This window comes from Homo sapiens, chromosome 20, assembly GCF_000001405.40.
Source record: "Homo sapiens chromosome 20, GRCh38.p14 Primary Assembly".
NCBI lineage: Eukaryota > Metazoa > Chordata > Mammalia > Primates > Hominidae > Homo > Homo sapiens.
In genome coordinates, this window is record NC_000020.11 from 60,163,973 (window position 1) to 60,185,095 (window position 21,123).

Genomic DNA, 21,123 nt, shown 5'->3' on the forward strand with positions numbered 1-21,123 from the left:
GCAATGGATGTACTTAGCACCTGCACTGTCACTGCTGAGCACCTATCCACTAAAACAAAGCAGGGATTCTTGGAGAAATGGCTGACTCCTAATCTGGGGCACGAAATATATGAGAAGATCCCAGATCATCTTACTCAACCCCAGGAAGCAAAAGAAAAGGTTGCTGGGTCTCCTCGGAGGACCCAGTAGCTGACCTAAATAGGCTTCCACCGGACAGAGGTCACACACTCAGGGCTTCAGTAAGAATAACAACGTGGAATGGAAACACATCGTCTGTGTTCCCATCCATGTGTAAAAGACAGACAACAGACAACAATGGAGCAAGACACATCAACCATGTCGAAATCCACAGGTAAAGCACAAAACCACCACAGAAGCAGCAGCAAATCAACACCATCACGAAATGGATTGAAAGAATGATAGGGAACCAACTCACAATTTTGAAAACCAGCAAATAAAGAGAAAAAATTGAGCATTTTTCCTGCCTTAATTTTACAACTGTACCTCAGGATAACACAGTGGTTTATTTGGGAACGTTTCTTTTTATATTGAAGAGTTCCAGCTCAATAATAATGATGGATGATAGAATTCGAATATCATAATTTTTCAGCCTCAAAGGCAATAATTGGACGATGCTGTCATCCCCAATGACTGTTGGCATCACAAAAAAGAGCAACAACCTGGTATTGTGTCTCTAGATGAAAGTACATGATACCACTTAGGGGTTTTCTTGAAAAATATTGAACCTGAAGACCAGGGATAGAGCAATACGTTAAATGATACCACAGGGTTGTAATCAACAAATTTTAGAATGTGAGAGACCCTATGTCGTCACTGACAAATAAATTGTGAAGCCATTAAAAAGAGAGGAGGAAGAACCTACAGATAGAGATTTAAGGGTCATATTAGGCAACTGCAAGGCGAGGCCTTCTTTGGATCCTAACTTGAATAAGCCAACTATATATATAAACACATACACACTATATGTAAAATATATATATACACACACACTATATATATAAAATATACACTATATATATGCATATACTATATATAAAATTTATATATACACACTATGTAAAAATATATACACAATTCTATGTATACACACACCATATATATAAAATATGTATACATACAACTATGTATACACACACACTGTATATATATACTATGTATGTACACACACATATATATACACACTATATAAAATGAATACTAATGCCTAGTGCTGAGAGTTTAGAGATGTTTTACACTATATAAAAAAATATATACACACAACTATATATATACACACACATATGTGCAATCAGGGAAATGTTGACTTTCCCTGGATGTTGGTTATATAAAGACGTTATTGTCATATGTTATGCTGATAATGGTATTGTGGCCATTTAAAAAGTCTTGTATTTTAGAGATACGTGTGAATTATTTCCAGAAAAAAATAAGCTCACCAGAACGTGCAACAGAGGTAGCTTCTTTTGACTTTCACTAATTTTTTAGGTCCTTGAGACTGTTCTGTTTTGAATACTCAAGATGAGATTTAATTATTTTCAGTGCTCAGAAATTTTCTTCTATAATTTTATTGATCCTTGCCACAACTCCATTTATTCTGTTTCTCATTTTGTAATTCCCTTGGGTAAATGAGGTATCCTGGGCTGGTTCTATATTTCTCTTTTCCTTTTTTCTCCAAATTCATCATTCAATCATAATAGAATTAATTGAATTAAATGAAGTTGATCCAAAGCAACTTATATCCCACATCTTATATGCCAACTTATATGCAACTTATATGCAACTTATATGCCAACATCTAGATTTCACATCAGCCAGATATCACGACAATGGAAAGCTTGAAATATGAAAGAAAAAATACAAAGATCCTTCTTATTTTGTAGGAAAGTGAAGTTTACGGAAAAAAACTAACAATCACCTTTTATTCTGTAGAGAAGCAGTGAGAGCTGAGAGCTTCAGACACATTGGAAATAATATGAAGTATTTGAATCAATTATATGACGGCAACAAAGAATAATTCTATTTTTGTGGGTCAACCACTAATTGCAGTATAATGTTCTCAGCACTTTCATCTGTCATTGCTGGGAAATATTAATGGGACTCTTAAGACCAAGGCTTCAGCACAACTATTGGGTAATTAGGGCACGAATCCCCATGCATACTTAATTGTATGATATAGGACCAGGCTAACTTTAGAGTGGGGGTGGTTTCAGAATGACAATACAGAGAAACACCTCCTTGGTTTCTATAACTCTAAGACATCAGATTAAATTGAGTATGTTGAAAAGAATTGCACTGAAATATCCCAGACTGTGTTTCTGTTCTAATTAGCTTATTTACAAAGTTTAGTTCATCTATTTTTCCAAAAAGACGTTTCTCTGGACTGCCCGACAATTCTGTAGTCTTCTAGTTACTGAAATCCAGCTCAAAACATAGGTTCATTTCCCTTTTAAAAGGGAATTTATTGTCTCATATAATGGAAAAGCCAGAAGCCAGCATCCCAGGCATGGTGGATCCAGGTGCATAAATGGCGTCCTCAGGAATCAGTTCCTGTTCTCGTGTCTTTCCACCTGGTGATGAAGGTGGTCACCAGGAGTTTCTGGCCACATCTTACCAGTTTAGCAACCCTGCTATAAAGAGCACTAAGGCTCTCGTTAGCCTAGCTGTGGTCACATTTGCAGCCCTAAGCACATCACTTGGCCAGGGGGATGCTGTCCATTGGCCAAGCTTGGGTCCCAGGCCCACCTCTGAAACCACAATATGGGTTCAACCTCCCATACGCCAAATGGCAGAGGGTAGTTCTTTGGTGGAAACTTTGTCTCCACAACCTAGAAAAGGGAGAATGAACATTGGGCAGGCAGAAATCACAACAGACATCTTTTGTGGAATTTTAAATAACTTCTGGAATATTAGTCACTGCTCTGTCTAGCCTGACTGTTTCCAGGCTTGCTAAAGGAACAATAGCAAGGCTGACTTGAAATGCTGGCAGAAGCTTTGCTGTTCTGTATTTGAGGGTAAAAGAAGGAGCAGTTTGAGGAGAATGTGAATGTTGAGCTGTCCATCTGTCTTTCTCTCTAAGGATGCAAAAGCAAGAATGGTCAGATATACATTTACTGATGGATCGTTGACTTTTTAAAATTCCTATGAAAAAGCAACCTGTAATCCTTTGAGATTTTAGAAGTGATAAAATGAATCCCCTCTAGTCAACTACCCTAATGGGAAATACAACAGACACTTATTTATTCTAGCTTTACATTAACAAAGGTTATGTGATAGAATAGCTTTCAAGAATGCTGTTTCTAGAACTTTCTGTTTGGTCAAAGAATGAATATTATACAGTCACAAACACATGGCCAGCCACCTGAGGAAAGGCAGCATCTAAATGACACTATGAGATAGGAAGTTCAAATAGTCAAGTGTTTATTAAGGTGGGTATTCTGAAGTCTCATCAAACTTTAGCCCACATATATTGAGCAATGACTGTATACTGTATGATTTACTGTGCCTTGGGCATGCAGATATATTAATGACATGACCTCTGGTGTCTAACAGGGATGATCTGCTTATAACAGGTTCTACATCAGATTAATTCAAAGAAAATGGAGAAGAGGACTTATAGTGAAATGTCAGGAATTTTATGTTTTTCAATAAATGGAGCTTCATTCCTAGACCTACTGATGGAATGAATAGAGTAAAATTCAATTTTAGGATTTTTGTTCCAAAAGTCCTTACAGCTAAGGGGCGTAGATGTTAATCTCTGAAATGGGTGAGTTTGTTTTGTCTTAAATTGTGTACTGCCAGGATATATGATGTCAGACAAAATAGATTCAGGCATTGATTTCCGGGTGAGTTTAATTGATTGCTATTTCTTTCTGCTTGACTAGAGATTGAGGTTTGCTGATGTTTCTGCATGTCTAATATAATTTCCATTTGGTATTTGGCTTGCTTATGTAAAGGAATACATATTCAATTGAGTTGAGAAAGACCAGACCATGGTTGTTCAAAACCCTGGGGATGTGGCTTATGCTTGTTAGCACTTAGTCTTCTCTGGTTTCTACACACAGTTTCATTGTGACACCAAGCTCCCTGTCAACTTTCACCACAAAATAAGTACAAAAATATTTACATGGGTGTAAAGACTGATGGTTGCCTTAACATCTATGGCCAGTGGAGGGAAATAACTCATTAGAAGGATTAGAAGACCTGGGCCAATTTAAAATTATGTATAAATGCCAGATTCTAATGAGCATTTCAGCCACAGTGGGTGACAGTAAATTAATGTAAGCAAGGTTTGTCTTCTTTTCTTTACTTTCTCAAATCTCAGTGGGAGACATGTAGAGTTGGGGCCTGTTGCTACCATCTCAAGTACAAACATTTCTTTATGTCTGTAGTGAAAGTGGGGATCTGTTGTTGGGTCATTTCAGCCCATCTCAACAAATGCAGGTATCGAAGTGTGTGTTTGCAGGATGAAGACAAGCTGCATTCCAGGAAGAAAGTTTTCAGGCAAATAGTTTCAGGACCAATCATCAGTTATATCAGGACAAACAGGACTTCTTCATGATCGAGGGAGCCCAGGCTATTGTCAATTCCTGAAGCTTCCAATACATTGAAAAATGAAGGAATCTTGAAACAGGTTATAAAAATTGGATATATTTATATTCTTTTCATTGAAGAAATTTATGCTTTTTACACAGTCAAGTGCAGTGACTAAATGCGTGATCTTACTTGAGGATATGTCTAGCAATTACTCCCTGGACATTTGGGAATATAAGGCCAATACCATGAAAGACAGAGGGCAGAGGAAGAAGGAAGCTGGATTTTAGGCTATGTCACTGAACCACTGAATGACTCCTCACCTGAAATCCTCAGGTAAATGTCCTACTGCTATACTCTTCGTAGTTGAGCCAGTAAATTATTTTCTAAGTCAGGATGAGTTAGGTGCTGGTTCCTTGCAGCTGAAATCATCCTAGCTGATGTGGACCTGCTTCTGCCCAGTGCCTCCACCCTTTAACCACTCTTAGCACTCACACAATGCTGAGGCTGTCTTCATTTAATTGAAAGGTTAATTATAGGTGGAGGTCTGTTGTAGAATATGTGGTTATTTTGGTCTCTGCAACAGTAAACAGGTTTGACAGTGCTCTGACTGACTTGACTGGATGGATGGATTGTTGATATGACATAATTCTAGCTATTAGCTGTCAATCCTTTCATCCTGAAAGATGCTGTTTTCTCATTTCTTTACACTGGTTTGACAATTTATACAGCTTGAAATGCTTTCCTATGCATTATCTCATCTGATCATAAATCCACACTTGGGGTTATAGAATAGACATTTTCTACTTTTTCAGTGGAGGAAGCTGAGACAGCAGCCGCCCCAGGCCAACATAAACATAGAATCCAGGGCTCCCCATGAAATGTGTGTGACCTCCCTGGCTCCACATGGATGGGCCAGTCTAATCAGTGTCTGCATTGTTGGTCTGCATTAGGCTATAAGCGACTGAATACAGTGACTCAGACCAATCCAAGCAGCAAGGATATCCATGGTGCTATGTAACAAGAAATTCGGAGTCAGAATGCGGTCTAGGCATGGATGTCAGGCTCTGGAGACTATCTGCATTTTTCTGGTCTCCCATTGCCTTTGAGGGATTGGCGTCATCCTCCAGAGATGGCAAGGTGGCCACAGCTGATCCAGGCATTATCTGACTCAACAACATCCAGGAGCAGGACCTTCTCTTCTCCTGTTCTTTATTGGAGCCTGGAAACCTTTTCCATAAGGACATGCAGCAGACATTTCCATTTTATCTGCACTGGGTCCATGCCCACTCCCCCATCAGTCATTGAAGGGGAAAGGGAGCCTATAATCCTCTTAGAATAACCTGCTGATGAGAATCAGTTGTTGGATAGTGAACCACAGTAACCCCCACAGCATGCATCTAAAATGCGCTGACCTAGAGTATGCAGCAGGTGAAGAAAGTTGGCCTGGACATGGTGGATGGCTGCTGTCACAGCCCCTCATTTGTTCATGCCTCTCTGTGTCCTGGTATTTGCGTCAGTGTGGTCCACTCTCACGCTGACTCAGGACCTGGCCAGAGGACTTGTTTAGGTCAATGAGAAAAAAATCAAATATTACACAAAGGGCTTGTCTTCTATTTGCTCTTGGGAACTGTTACGGACTGATTGCATCCCACTAAAATTCATAGGTTGAAGCCCTAACTCCCAATGTGACTGTATTTGAATGTAAAGCCTTTAAGGAAGTAATTAAAGTTAAATGTGGCCAGAAGGGTAGGGCCCTACTCTGATAGGACTGTGTTCTTATAAGAGGAGGGAGAGATACCAGAGACTACTTCCTCTCCACAGGCTCACAGAGGAAAGGTCACATGAGGACAGAGCAAGAAGGCACCCGTCCACAAGCCAGGAAGAGAGGCCTCACTGGAAACCAGTCCTGCTGGCATCTTGATCTTAAATTTCCAGCCTTCAGAACTGTGAGAAAGTGAAGTCATATTGTTTAAGGCCCCCCATAGTCGGTGGTATTCTGTTATGGCAGTTCTAGCAAACTCATACAAGAACTTTACAACCACCATCCCAAGAACAAGCCTGGGCAGGCCTGCTGGGTGATAAAAGATGGGACACCTAGGTACCTTCATGGCCTCAGCCTGCAGCCAGCCAGCCTGTAGGCAGGCACGTTAGTTCAATGACCACCAGCTGACCACAGATGAGTGAGTCTAGTGAGACCAGTAGAAGAGCTACCTACTTGAGCCCAGCCCAGGTTTCAGACACACATAATTAAAAGCCAAATAAATGCTTGTTTTAAGTCACTGAGTTGTGGGGAGGTTTGTTATTCAGCTATACGTAATCGACACATGTAGGATATAGAGGTTTTCAGCCACATACTCAATTGAAACAACTTGAGTTGCACATCCTTTGTTGGTCTGATTGGGAATGCAATTTATTGACACTGTTGGTCAAAGCCATATCTACAGGGATCAGGTAGTCAGGCAAATGAGCAAGACAAGCTGCATAGAAAAATAATCATCAGGCCCTTTTAGTTTGAGTTTTGTTGTACATATTTGGATAAATGTACAGATACAGAAATAGCCACAGACCATAGGAAAGCAACTGTCTAAGAGAGGTGCCGGATGACAACTGGTACACACAGTCTCAAGGATGGGGATTCAGTAGGGAGTGGTGGGGACTATGGGGAGCTGGAATGAGCATGTCACTAACAGAGATAGCCACTGTTCCGCTCCAGCCCTTGTTGCTATGTAGGCATGTGGGCCCAGTGTTTTGCTATGAGAATTTCCAATTTTTCAACAAATACCAGAAATCTGGATTTTTATGTAACATTTTATATTTTTAAAACACTGATTCACTTGGAAGTAAAACACTGAACAGGCAAAATAAAACTCATTTTAGGCTAAACTGCCACTTTGTAATGTCTGCTCTGCACAAACTGGCTAACAGTAGAGTTAGAAGTCAGTAAACTACCCTGATGTCAAGTGGCTGGTTTGGCTGAGTTTTTACTTTCCTATTTGTTTGGGATTTGCATATTTATAGTGTACAGATGCAAATGAAAGGCTTTGCAGAAAAGTGGATTCTGAATCCAAAATATAATAGACAGGAAATAAAACAATGAAAAAAATACAGTCTTTGATTGCAGGTCTTTCTGCCTCCAAGCTCAGAGAAAACAAACAAAATGCAAAAACCTAATATGGGTAAACCCAGTAAGAAAAGTTTTTCAAAATCAGAAAACAAATAAATGGGGGTTTGGACCTTTGCATTCCAAAATTATTCTCAGCCAGATGGTGAATTTCTTGAATTAAGTCAGGGACCAGATTTTATTTATTTTTGTATCCAGGGCAGCTGGAAGCATCGAATCAAGTTTAAGTGAATGAATGAATCAATGAATGAATATTTCACATGGATTTATAGGTAATTAACATATGGCCCATGTGTTGGGGAGTGGCCCTGTGTGCGTTACCACCATGCTGTTTGGAGTCAGGAGACATGGCTTTTTATCTGACCTACTCTTCCGTTTTAGCCACATTAGTTATGTAACCTCTGTGTGTCTCCATTTCTCATGTGTGAAGTGAGGATAATAAAAAATGCATACCTGTTAGTGCTGTGAAGATGCGATGGAACCTGCCTGTAACTGTACTTCATGGCCTGACATGGAGCTCGGGTCCAGTAAATGTTTCTGAGGTTGATGCCTAGTTAGTTTTAAACAGTGGATTACCAGGGGAGTGGGCAGGAGAAGATGACACCTACTTTACTCCTCTTCAGGGACACGGATTTTGAGTCCAGCAACCTGAATTTGGACTAGCTTATGCCAACACATTCTTTCTATGGATTCTGTGAGAATCAGCTCAGGTCACCTCTTGGGCAGAGGTCTGAGGAATCTGGAAAGCAACCCAGTGCTGTTTCCAAAGCATTGTCAACAGCAATGAGGCAGATGCTGCCCTTGGGAATGATTCTTTGCTACAGAATTGGCCATTTTCAGCAACACACAGTGATGTTGTAATAAGGAGATAAAACATGTGAGTCTATAGCCGGCCTTTTATGGGGTGTTCGATGCATCCCAGTTGTTCTTAAATAAGCAAAGAGAAATTGCATCCTCTAGGCCGGTGGAAGCTTGCGGCTTTTCATTTTCTGCCTCTTTTTGGGTATTGTTGCTTTCCTTTTCACTTTGCTCTAATAAGGAATGTTCTCTCTAGAGCAAAATAAATGCCAATCTTATGCGTTTCTGAAGGGAGAGCTATTGTGGTTGGAAACTACTGAATAATTCTCAGAGTATTATTTTGTCATTATTACTCAACCTTTACTATCATATTCCTGATGTTGGCTGGGACCTCCTGGTCCTCTGAGGCACATAGACAAGGTCAGGGCCAGCTCCCATCACGTCCCATACTCGGAAAGGAAAAACCTGCACTGAAACTTCTCCTCTCCTCCAGTGGGCAGCAGGGTGAGCGGTGACTCAGAAGGTGGGAGCTCATTCTCATGGCTTCTTTGCATCCCAGGGGACACCTGCCTTGCCTGTGGGCTATTTTGCCCCATGTTGAACCAGATGGAAAAAATCTTTTTCTTTACAAATCATAAATTTGCCCTGTTCACATACAATGTATGTGAATACAGAAACCTTAAAAAAAAAAAAAAAGGCTGGGTGTGGTGGCTCACGCCTGTAATCCCAGCACTTTGGGAGGCTGAGGTGGGCGGATCATGAGGTCAGGAGATCGAGACCATCCTGGCTAACACAGTAAAACCCCATCTCTACAAAAATACGGAAAAAAAAAAAAAAATTAGCCGGGCGTGGTGGCGGGCGCCTGTAGTCCCAGCTACTTGGGAGGCTGAGGCAGGAGAATGGCGTGAACCCGAGGGGCGGAGCTTGCAGTGAGCTGAGATTGCACCACTGCACTCTGGCCTGGGTGACAGAGTGAGACTCCATCTCAAAAAAAAAAAAAAAAATAGAGATAAGAATGATGAGGATGAGGGGGGAAAACTTGTACTGGAATAAAGAGAGAAAAAAAGAAGTTCATGTAGAATAGTCAGGTAATGCTGTTAAAATGCCCTTTGACCACCCCACTCCTTCGCCAGGGAGTTTCTCTGATTCACTCGATATTTCTTGCTCCTCCGTCAGATTGTTCCTAAAACTCCAAACTCTCAGGGTATTTGCAACCTCTGCAAGGTCCACGCTCTAACCTAACAACAAATCCATGAAGACACAGCAGGCAGCAAGGCATCCCTTCAATGGGGCGTGCACCCCTTCAAGAGCAGTTGAAGTTACAAGAGGAATCTTTTATTTCTGTTATGTTTTCAACAATCACATTTACTGGTTAATTAGTGAGGTGAGCGTATGTCCTGGCTTATGCCAGTTGTTCTAGTGTGATTATTAAGAATGCCTGTGGGCACTGTCCAATTGTCCCACTTTCGATCATGAATTAAATGGTCACTCCATATACTTGCTTTACTCATTGCTTATCTGGAGTGGCACTATACAATAGATATATAATAGAAGCCAAATGTGTAATTTAAATTTTTCTGGTAGTCCTATTAAAACAAAAGGAAAAAGGTAAAATTACTTTTAATAATATACTTTTTCTCCTGCCTCAGCCTCCCAAGTAGCTGGGATTACAGGCACCCACCACAACGCCTGGCTAATTTTTGTATTTTTTTAGTAGAGATGGGGTTTCATCATGTTGGCCAGGCTAGTCTTGAACTCCTGACCTCAGTTGATCCACCTGCCTCAGCCTCCCAAAATGCTAGTTGCAGTGAGCCGACATGGTGCCACTATCCTCCAGCCTGGGCAACAGAGTGAAACTCCATCTCAAAAAAAATAAATACATATTATACTTTATTAACCCCATATATCCAAAATACTATCAATTTGACATGTTGTCCACATAAAACATGTAATGGGATACTTTACCTTTCTCTTTTGTAGGAAATCCTTGAAATCCAGCAGAGCATGTATTTTAATTGTGGCACCTCTCAGTTTGGACTAACTACATTCCAAGTGCTCAATAGCAAAATATGGCTATTGGACACTGGATTGGATGCTCAGATCTAGGTCCATATTACTCATTTTTATAAATGTTTTAATGGTACAAGGGTGAATAATCACAGAATAATCACAGAAGGTAGAAGCTGTAAAATTGTACTTTGAGTGTGGGGAGGGGTACATAAGGACCTCTTTCCAAAAGTTGAATATCTTATGGAACTTTAATATGTAAGATCAGCACAAATAGCATAGTGTTAGAATAAATTATTGTGTATAAATTTAAAATTTCAATATATAGTTAATATACAAGGGGACTTCAAAATGTTCATGGAAAAATCGAATTAAGAGATAAAAATAAAGAATATAAACTTTCTTAACATAAGCTCCATTAAGGTCAAGATACTTTTGTAAGCAAGGACACCAACCATTTAGACCATCCCCAAAGAACTGAGCATCCTGGGAATTGAACCATGTCAGTTCAGTCCTTTTTCCATTATTAACTGAAGAAAAATGGGTTTCCTTTACAATTTTTTTAATATTAGGAGACAAAAAAAAAGTCAAAAGGAGACAAATCAGGTCTGTAAGGTGCATGCCTAATGATTTTCCATCAAAATATTCCCCAAATTGCCCTTGTTTGATGAAAGGAATGAGCAGGAACATTCTTGTGGTGGAGAAGGACTCTCTGGTAGGCTTTCCTGGGTTTTTTTGCTGCTGACGCTTTGGCTTTCTCAAAACACTGTCATAACAAGCAGATGTTATTGTTCTTTGGCCTCATAGGAGTCAGTAAGCAAATTTGAGCAGCCCAAAAAGCTGTTGTCATGACTTTTGGTCTAGCCCAGTGCTCTTGTATTTTGACTGGGTCACTCTTGGTAGCTGTTGCTTTGGTTGTGCTTTGTCTTCGGGATGGTACTGGTGAAGCCATGTTTCACTTCCTGTTACAATTCTTTAAAGAAGTGCTTCAGGAGCTTGATTCCACTTGTTTAAAATTTTCATTGAAAGCTCGTCACTTGTCTGCAGCTGATATAGGTGCAACAATTTTGGCACCCATTGAGTAGAAATTTGCTCAACTGTATTTTTTCAGTCAGAATTGTGCAAACTGAACCAACTGAGATGTCTATGGTGTTGGTGATTGATTGCACTGTTAATTGTCAATCCTCTTCAATTAGGGCATGAACATGATGCATGTTTTCCTTGCAAATTAGGGGTGTGGTCTCTGCTGCTGCAGGCTTCATCTTCAACATTGTGTTGTCTCTTCATATAATGAGTTATCCATTTGTAAACTGATGATTTCTTTGGGGCATTGTCCTCATACATTTTTTGTAAAGCATCAATCATTTCACACTCTTCCACACAAACTTCACCATAAACTTGATGTTTGTTCTTGTTTCATTTTTAGCAGAATTCATGTTGCTCTGATAGGGGCTCTTTGCAAACTGTTGTCTTATCCTTCTTTGTACTTCAAACTAGATCCTATTCAGACAAGTTATAACAAGTTAGTATGAGTTTATTTTGGTGCAAAAATTGAAAATTTTCAAAAAAAATTAAAAAATTTTTTGAAATCCACACATGGTTTTTAAATAATACATATTTTCCAAGATTTGTTGAAGCTATCTTGTATATTTAATAAATATAATAAGAAAATTAAAAGAAACGATTTGTAAAATGTTAAAATAATCAACCTCATGTTTCTGCCACTCAACTTCAACACCTACCATTCCCTGATAATCTCGTTTTACAGGTACTCCTGCCCACTCCCCAACTAATGGTTTTAAGATTTACATGTATCTCTGAGAGATAAAGATTCTTGTTTTTACACATAGCTACAATAGTATTTAAAATATCAATAATTCCTCAATTTCATTCACTACCTAGTCAGTGCACAAATTTCCCCAGGTACCTTATAAATTTTTCTTTTACATTTAGTTTGTTCAAATCAGAGTCTAAATAAGGTCCATACATTGCAATTGGTTGATAAATTTCTCAATATTTTTTATCTGTATTTTTCCTCATCTCTTATAATTTACTGGTTTATTAGTCCTATGGAGTTTTTCGCAGTTTCGATTTTAATGCTTGATTCTCTGGGGTGTTATTTAATGTTCCTCTGTTCTCTGTGCATCTGTAAACTGATAGGGCTAAAGGTTGGAGGAAATTCCGAATAGAAACTTTGGCAAAAATATTTCATAGGTAGCATCAAAGGGTACATCACATCTGGATGCCTTTTTCTTCTTTTTGAGTTTGCGTGCGTGTGTGTGTGTGTGTGTGAGAGAGAGAGATGGGTGGGGAGAGGGACAAAAGGAAGAAAAAAGGTAGATTGAGAGATGGGGGGAGGAACAGAGAGAGTGGGCAGAGAGAGAAAGAGAGAGATTACATCAATCATTGTTGATCACTGCATAAGACCTTAATTCAGTAAGTGTGACAACATTAGAATGCCCTTGTTCTGTCATTTATTTCTCATTTGTTTGGTGGAACGTCTCTGTCAGAATAATTCTTCCAATTCAAGTCCTTGGTTACTCTGAGATATAGTTTGTATAGGAAATTTAGGATAAAAACTTAAATCTTTCCCCTTTTATTTACTAATTTTCAAAATAACTTCACTTCCTGGCATTCTCCAGAGGTGACCAATCAGTTTTTATTTTCTTTTTTGTTTTCGAGGTAGAGGATGGTATTATTAACTCATAGGTTTGAACATGTTTGATGTACTTCAATGGACTGTGATTATCTCTGGCCAGTGGGAGCTGCTGCAGGTTGATTGTGACTTTGTCTGCTGTCAGACATGACACGATGTCTAGGCTAATCTTGTACATTTCTCGACCTACAACTTTGATTCAGCCATTTCCCCATGAGGAAATTGAAACCGAGAATAGCATCAGCGTTGAAACTGGGGTTGCATTATTTAAAACTCTTTTGCTTGCAAGTAGCAGGAATTCCAACCCAAACTGCCCAGGCATGGTGTCATTCATTGGCTCCCATGATATAAAGAGCTGGGACTGGATTTGGGGGCAGGCTGACACAGGGGCTCAAGCCCTCTATGGGAGCTGGTGTCTCTCCCTCCACTTCCCTGCTGCATTTCCTTTAGGTGGCCCCAGGGGAGATATTAAAACTATTTAGCAACCACGCACTGAGGATCAGAAGGAACACAGGCCAAAGTTTTGAGTGGCTCCTGGAAGACCCCTGCTGTGCCAGCATTACTTCTTCAGTTGCTGCATTGTGGGGAGATACAGGAGGACCAGAGGAGGGGCTGGGGTGACAGGTGGTAGAGGGAGAACTTGGAGGACCTGAGGGTGGTGGCTATTTGCCAGCAAGTATGGCGGTATTTTGACAGTTTAACAACCAACTCAGTCTCCCCAGGGCTACCTAGTCTAGTTGGTTCCATTCTCTGACCCGCTCTTTGCACATGGTGGCCAGATGGCCGTACTCCTCACATCCAGCCAAGAAAGGCAAGGCTAACCCAAGTCCAGAGAGTCACTTGGATGGACTGAGGTGGACCGTGTGCCCGGGAATGAGCTGAGTTGATTAGCTCGTCCCAGGCTCCATTCCAGGAGCTGGGGCCAGAGCTGCACGTGTACCAGGACTGAGCATGGGGAGGTGAAGACCATAAATAAAAATTGGGATTATGGCCAGGGGAAAGGGTACCAGCTGTGGCAGGACAGCACCATGTGCCCACCACAGAAGGGGCAGAGGACATTTGCACCTTATGTTAGTTTCAAGGTCAAATTTGCTTTTATGTTTTGTTTTGGTTGCAGAATATTAAGAATGTTAGGCTTCACATTGGTATAGAGGTAAAAATTGTAGATGTTTTCAACACCTTGCCTTCCTATCTCATCAATTACACTAATCAGTGTGATTGAAAGAGAAGCAGTAGGAAACATTTTCCAACATGAATTGAAACACCAACAATCAGGACTGGTGTGTAATTTGTGGGACCTAATGCGAAATGAAAAGGTGGATCCCTTGTTCAAAAGTTATTAAAAATGTCAAGACAGCAATGGCAGAGTAGTAAACCTGTGGGGCCCTGTGTGTCTGTACAGCATTGCCAACAATATCTGGTAACAGCCCACATTTCTTTCCTTGAATAGAAAGATCAGACAAGAAGCACCCTAAAATTTCAAGTGCTGAAATGTCTATATGAACTAAGGGTCAACCTCAATGTGGTGTGTACTCACCGTTGTGCACAGTTAGTGCAGTGGTGAGGAGGCCAGGCTCTGGCCTCTTAATGCTTCTGTTTTTCAGTTCTCCCCACTCACTGGCTCTGTGGCCTTGGGCCAATGATTTCACTCCACCTCACTTTATCCTCTCCCTCTGTAAAATGCGAGAATAACATGATCTACCTTGTGGGATTGTTTTAAGGATTTGGTATGAGATATGAAAATAATTTGAAAGGAGATCATGGAAATTAATGTACTCAGAACGGGGCTGTTACAGAATGCTCACTCTACGTAGGCTTTAGCTGGTATCTCAGTGACAAATGTTATAGTTATTATACCTAAAGCGTGCATACACAATGTGTCATACATGTAGGCGTACTGCATGTGATGCTGGAGCACGCCCCACACAGGTGCTTCCCAGTCTTGCCTGGCACGTGGTTGAGAGAGGCACGTGTGTGCTTCATCAGCTTGATGCTTAGATAATTTTATCTGAGTAAAATGGAAAAAGCACTGAATTTTTTAAATGCACAATGCAGAGTTACAGCCTTCTTAACCAGTAAAACATGTTCAAGGAAGTTAAATTATGCACAAAAATTGCGTGAGAATTTATTCGAAGTTCTGCAGAAACACAGTTTAACCTGTGCTATAATTTGATATATATGACATTTAAGCATATTGCTCTTTATTATACAGGTTTTTTTGAAAATAGTTAAAATACATTTTAAGAAAAAGAAATTTGAGCACAATCTTGGCAGAACCCTTGAACTTCTTATCATTTCCACAAAGGTCTTTGTGATCCTGGGATATGGGGCCCCCAGAGAAAGGCCTCATAAGTGAGTTCCTTACAATGGGCACCTGCTTTTTATTATTAAACAGTAAAAAGAAAATCCCTTCCCAAACCCAAACTTGATTGAAACTTCATCTTAAAATAATGAAATGAAACTAGGAAGATATGTTTATCTTATAATTAATATTTACATTATAATCACAACTATAAGCTAATTTTAAAATAGAGAAAGAATAAACCAAGTTGACTTCCTTCCAATTTTTTTTTAATTGTGGTAAAATATATGTAACCTAAAATGTAGCATTTTAACCAATTTTAGCATATAGTCAGTGGCATTGAGGACATTCCCATTGTAAAACCCTCACCTTCATATATCTCCAAAACTTTTTCATCATCCCAAACTAAAGCTCTGTCCCCATTAACCAACAACTCTCCATTCCCCCTTCCCCCAGCCCCTGGCAGCCACCATGCAACTTCCCCTCCCTATGCATTCGACCACTCTAGGTACGTCATATAAGTGAAATGACACATGGTGGTCCTTTTGTGACTAGTGAGTGTTAATTGTTTGTAGAATTTTCCAAACCAGGTTGTATGACAGCACAATAAAATATCCTTCCCTTTCTGCTTGACTTTCACAGAACCATCAGGAAGAGGACATTTTGTAGAGTCATTCAAGGGCTTCATTCAAGGGCTTCATCAATTTTGCAAGAATATTCTTTAAGTTTTTATGTGGAAATGAGTTATAGTAAAGTATTACTTGAGCACAGTGCATGTCTTCTGTCTTCAGCCCAGTCAACTTTCACATCCGGGTACTTCCATGTGGCCATCCTCAGATGCAGATCTAGAACATTGCCACCACCCAGAGTCTTCTCACGTGATTCTTTGCAGGTGTTAACTCCTCTCCACTCACAGGTCACCGCTGTGCTGACTTTCCTTACCTCAGGCTAGTTTCCCCTCTTCCCCAACCTCATAGAAATGGAGTTGTTATCCTGAGTTCTTCTGCGTCTGGCTTTTCACCCAGCCTGTCTGTCATCTGTGAGGCTCATCCTGGCGACTGTTCTTTGCAGCTCACTCGTTGTTATGACTTTGAGCTATTTCTTGCCATGCAAGTACTATCATTTATTTATCCATTCCTCTCCTGATGGACCTTTGGGTTGTTTTAATTGCCTGTTATAAAGATGCTATAACCACTCTGCCAAGAACATTTCTTAATTCAAATGATTTTTTCTTCGAAAATGTCTGCGTTGTCACCATTCTTATAAATTCTCTTTTCGGTTCTTGTCTCTGCCGAAGAATCCTCTTGCGAATGCCTCTGCACAAGACTCTGTGTTTTCCAAAATCACAGTTATCTGTTTCATAACACCATACATCATTTGTGAGATCTTTACACTTCCTTTGAAACCAATTTGTCTTGTCCTTTTAGATGCTGACAACATGAGCCTCCCGTGGTCGGAACGGGCTTGTGAAGGCGGTGCTGGGGTGCACCAGGGCAGCAGCTACAGGTGAGTAGGCGGGGACATTTGAAAGGGGCTAATTTTCTCGTGGTCCTTTATAGGGGGATGTTTGTATGTTAAGACAGCTCTTTCTTCCCTATACAACTCTGTAGCTGGGGTTGAGTGCATGTAAACTCAGCTAACAAAATCTTCTTGCATTCGGTTTGAGGTCTATTGCTCTGCAGAATCCCCAGGCCTGCCACTTTCCTGGCACATCTTCTCAGCCCTTAGGCTCAGGCTGCAGTCTTTGATTAGTGGTGCATGTATGTGCGACGGGGACAGTTGTCACTGAAATTACAGACAGCTGAATGGTGATTTGAATTGCATGAGCATTAAGGCCTTTCTTAAGAGAGATATGCAAAACCCATGGTTTGATTCTCTTGAAGCATCGGGAAGGCCTGTATAGATAAATCCCCCTGACATCAACATAGCGGGGACACTCTAAGAACCTAATTTTAATGAATATACATTTTGACTTTCCAACTGCAAGAGAATGAGGGCAGATTTGTTTAGATCTTCCTAATTAATAGCCCAGGTTGACTGTACTTTTCTGTTTAATATAACTGATTTCATCTCATTAAGGGAGAGGTAGAAATTAGATGCATTCTCCACTTCCTGGTAAGAATATCTTCTTATTATAAGCTGGGCATAAAAACCCATCATGGCATGCGTACTGGGACTGCTGTGTTCTGGGTGGAGCCACGTTCGGAAGACCTTGTCTGTAATGAAATGGGACATTTTTCTGTACTTAGTTAATAATCTTTGGGCAGCATTTGATCATTTGAAAAAAGTCACACCATTCACTTGATCAGGAGGCATCTGCAGGGAATGCAGGTCGGGCCTGAGTCCTGTTGGCCCAGGAACAGGTAGTTGTGGCGTCAGGCAATTTTTGTTGTTGTTGTTGATGTTGTTGTTTTTGAGACAGAGGCTCGCTCTGTCGCCCAGGCTGGAGTGCAGTGGCACTATCTTGGTTCACTGCAACCTCCGACTCCCTGGTTCAAGCGATTCTCCTGCCTCAGCCTCCCGAGTAGCTGGAATTACAGGCACGCACCACCAAGCCCAGATAATTTTTGTATTTTTAGTAGAGACGGGGTTTTACCATGTTGGCCAGGATGGTCTTGATCTTCTGACCTTGTGATCTGCCCACCTCAGCCTCCCAAAGTGCTGGGATTACAGGAGTGAGCCAATGTGCCCGGCCTGAGGTGTTTTTTTAGTCAGGTAATTGAGGTGTTTCCACCAGGACAAAGCCTCTTGGTGGCTGAGAGGGACCCCACTGAACTCTCTGCTGACCGATGGGGGAGCATGCTAAGTGCTTAGGAACATTAGCACATACCTTGTGAAACTGATGTTTTTATGGTCAAAAAGGGTTGGATATCAGCACTTCCATAAGATACAGTGGACATTGGGACGCACATTTACTCCCAGTGACCCCCCACTCTGTTCCTTGGTGCTCTGTGTCCCCACCTCAGCTGCTCTGGGCTGTGGCTTTCTGCTCAGCAGTTCTTGTTTTGTTACTGCTGTTGTTGCCTTGGGGTGAGAAAGGATTTGTATCCGCACACAGAGGAAGATGAAAAATGTCATATTTCTTTATTTCGTAAAAGACTGAATTAAATACGACTCTCAAGCAATATCTTGGCAGGCTGGTGGGAAATTCAATCTCAGACATTTTGGACTTCCTTGTGCCTTCCTTTTGGGGCACAGACATTCTGGAGGTTTTGGTGAGTTCGAGGGTGGCTGTGCTGGTCTCCATCTCTGGTGCTCACTACTGATGACCTTGTGCATGCTGTATCATTATTTCGAAAGATGATTTTATCTCAGTGTTTTGAATAAACATTTTCCACTGTGCTCCAAGGGCCTCCCAGTGGACTGATGGGTATTAGTTCCCAGATATGGGTCTTTGTGGAGGTTGTAGGCCCCGTGAGGCAGGGGACCACACCTGTCTTAATCACTGCTTCACCTCCAGAGCCCGGAACAGCGCCTGGTTCATAGTGTCCAATAATTATTGAGTGATTGATTTAAACGGAAAAAGTCTCAGGGGTAACTGAATCAGGAAGTTGAGGATTTTAGGAGTAATCTGGATACAGTTCCTTCTGGACTAACAGACAACTTAGGTAGAGAAAACATTGTTGAAATATACTTACATTATTCAGCAGAAAGAGACCTGAGGAATAATAAAACACTAGAAAGGAAATCACTAAGGAATTATCAGTAGACTTTCTGCAAGCAGTACATTTGTATAATTTATTACTGGATATATAACAATATGATCTCTTTTAAAATATACTTATTTCAATATAACATACATAAATGTACATAAATAATACTTTGTGTAGTTAATGAGTCTTTACCTACTCAAAGGAAGAAAGAGAAGGTTATCAGCATCTAGAAAGCACACTCCTGCCCCCTCCCAATTACAGCCTTCTCAAAATCTAATCCCTATCAGAGGGTCTATCATTAGGAATTAATTCTGATTGTTGAACTTTATACCCAATGTGTACAGAGTGTGCTTTCTTTTGTGTTGGACTTCCTTCACTCATCGTTATGTGTGGGAGATGCACCCATGTTGTGTGTGGTTGTAGTGTATTCATTTTCATTGCAATGTAATATTCCACTGAAGAAGAAGTCGTGATTTATGCATTATACTGTTGAGGGCCGTTTGGGATGCCTACAATAAATAACAGTGCTATAACATCCTTGTTCCTGTTTCTGGTGGATTCATGCAAACATTTCTATTGAGTGGAATTCTATTTAGGAGTGGAATTACTGGCTGACTTAGATCACATTCCCCAGAAGCAAGAGTCTGAGATGGGTCTTACTGTGCAAGTGATTTACAGAAAGGGTGCTCTCAGGAGGAAGCTGGGAGGAAGCAAGGGAAGGAGGAGACAGCCTGGGAGAAGCTATACCATATATGGGTTCGGGTAGAGTCCAGGGCAGCCTGATGCCATAGGGAGCTCTGGGGGGTGACCAGCACCACAGCATTGATCCTCTGAGGGCTTTGGTATCTTTTCATCAGCCAGACATTGGCTGGGTGTCATCCCAGAGGGGTGGGGATAACATTGTGAAGCATCTGTATGTGTGATGGCTCCCATCAGCAAAATCACTCTCTGGAAAAGGTGTGGGACCTCAGCAGCTAACACTCTGAGGAGCTGGGACATCGGTGCCCTGGCTCATAAAATGGCCTGGGTGGGTCACCAAGCATGTCTGCTACACTAAGGCAGCAAGGAGCCAATGGCCAGTATTAGCAGGCATTGCTAGTGTTTGTATGGATAGGAATACCTCGAGCATCGTAGGAGGGTTTCTGTTGTTCCAGCTTCTCACCAACACTAGGTATTATCTGATTTTTCATTTTAGCCATTTTTTCCATTGTGCTCATTTGGCTAATAAGATACAGTGGTATCTTGTTGTGACTTTAATTTGCATTTTCCCGATGACTAATAAGGCTCCCTTTCCTTATGTTTATTGCTGTGTGTTTATATTATTTTAAGAAGTGTCTCAAGAACTCTACAATTACGTCGTCTTTAATTGGGTCGTCTGCCTTTTTCTTATTGTGTGGGTTAATTACCTATTCTGGACTGTAGTCCTCATCAGATATTTGCTTTAGAAATGCCTTCTCCATCACTACGGTTGTCCTTTTTAATCTTGTAACATATCCTTTGCTCAACAGAAGTTCTTAATTTTAATGAAATCCAGTGTCATCTTTTTCCTTTTATGGTTTGTGCCATTTGCCCTATTTAAGGAATCTTTGTCTGCCCCAAGCCCATGAAGATATTGTTTTATATTATCATCTAGAAACTTCATTTTAATTTTCACCTTTCATATTTAGAGCACCAAAGCTTTGGGAACAGATCTTTGCCTATAGTGTGAGGTGGTATCTCTTTAGTCATAAATCAAAGAACCCTATGTATGGTCTGTATCTCATTTTTCATTTGATTGGCTCTGTTTTCTATTCCAGTAGTTCTCAACCGGGGGTAAATTTTTCCCCCAACAGGGGACATTTTGCAATTTCTGGAGTCGTTTTTTGTTGTCACAAGTGTGTGCAGAGGCTGCTACTGGCATCTCATGGGTAGAGACCAGGGATGTTGCTAAGCAACCTACATCACACAGGACACTCCCTAATAAAAAAACCATCCAGCCCCAAATGTCAGTAATGCTGAGGTTGGCTAAGAAACCTGGCCTGTGACTACACCAAGG

At 40.7% G+C, this 21,123-nt stretch overlaps 1 long non-coding RNA gene across 1 annotated transcript in view; it reads left to right on the forward strand.

The window, feature by feature from the left end:
* Positions 1-21,123, forward strand: part of MIR646HG (MIR646 host gene) — a 183,765-nt gene that overhangs the window by 25,481 nt on the left and 137,161 nt on the right. The window contains exon 3 of the long non-coding RNA NR_046099.1: positions 16,863-16,941. This is a non-coding gene — a long non-coding RNA (MIR646 host gene). The remainder of the gene's footprint in view (positions 1-16,862; positions 16,942-21,123) is intronic.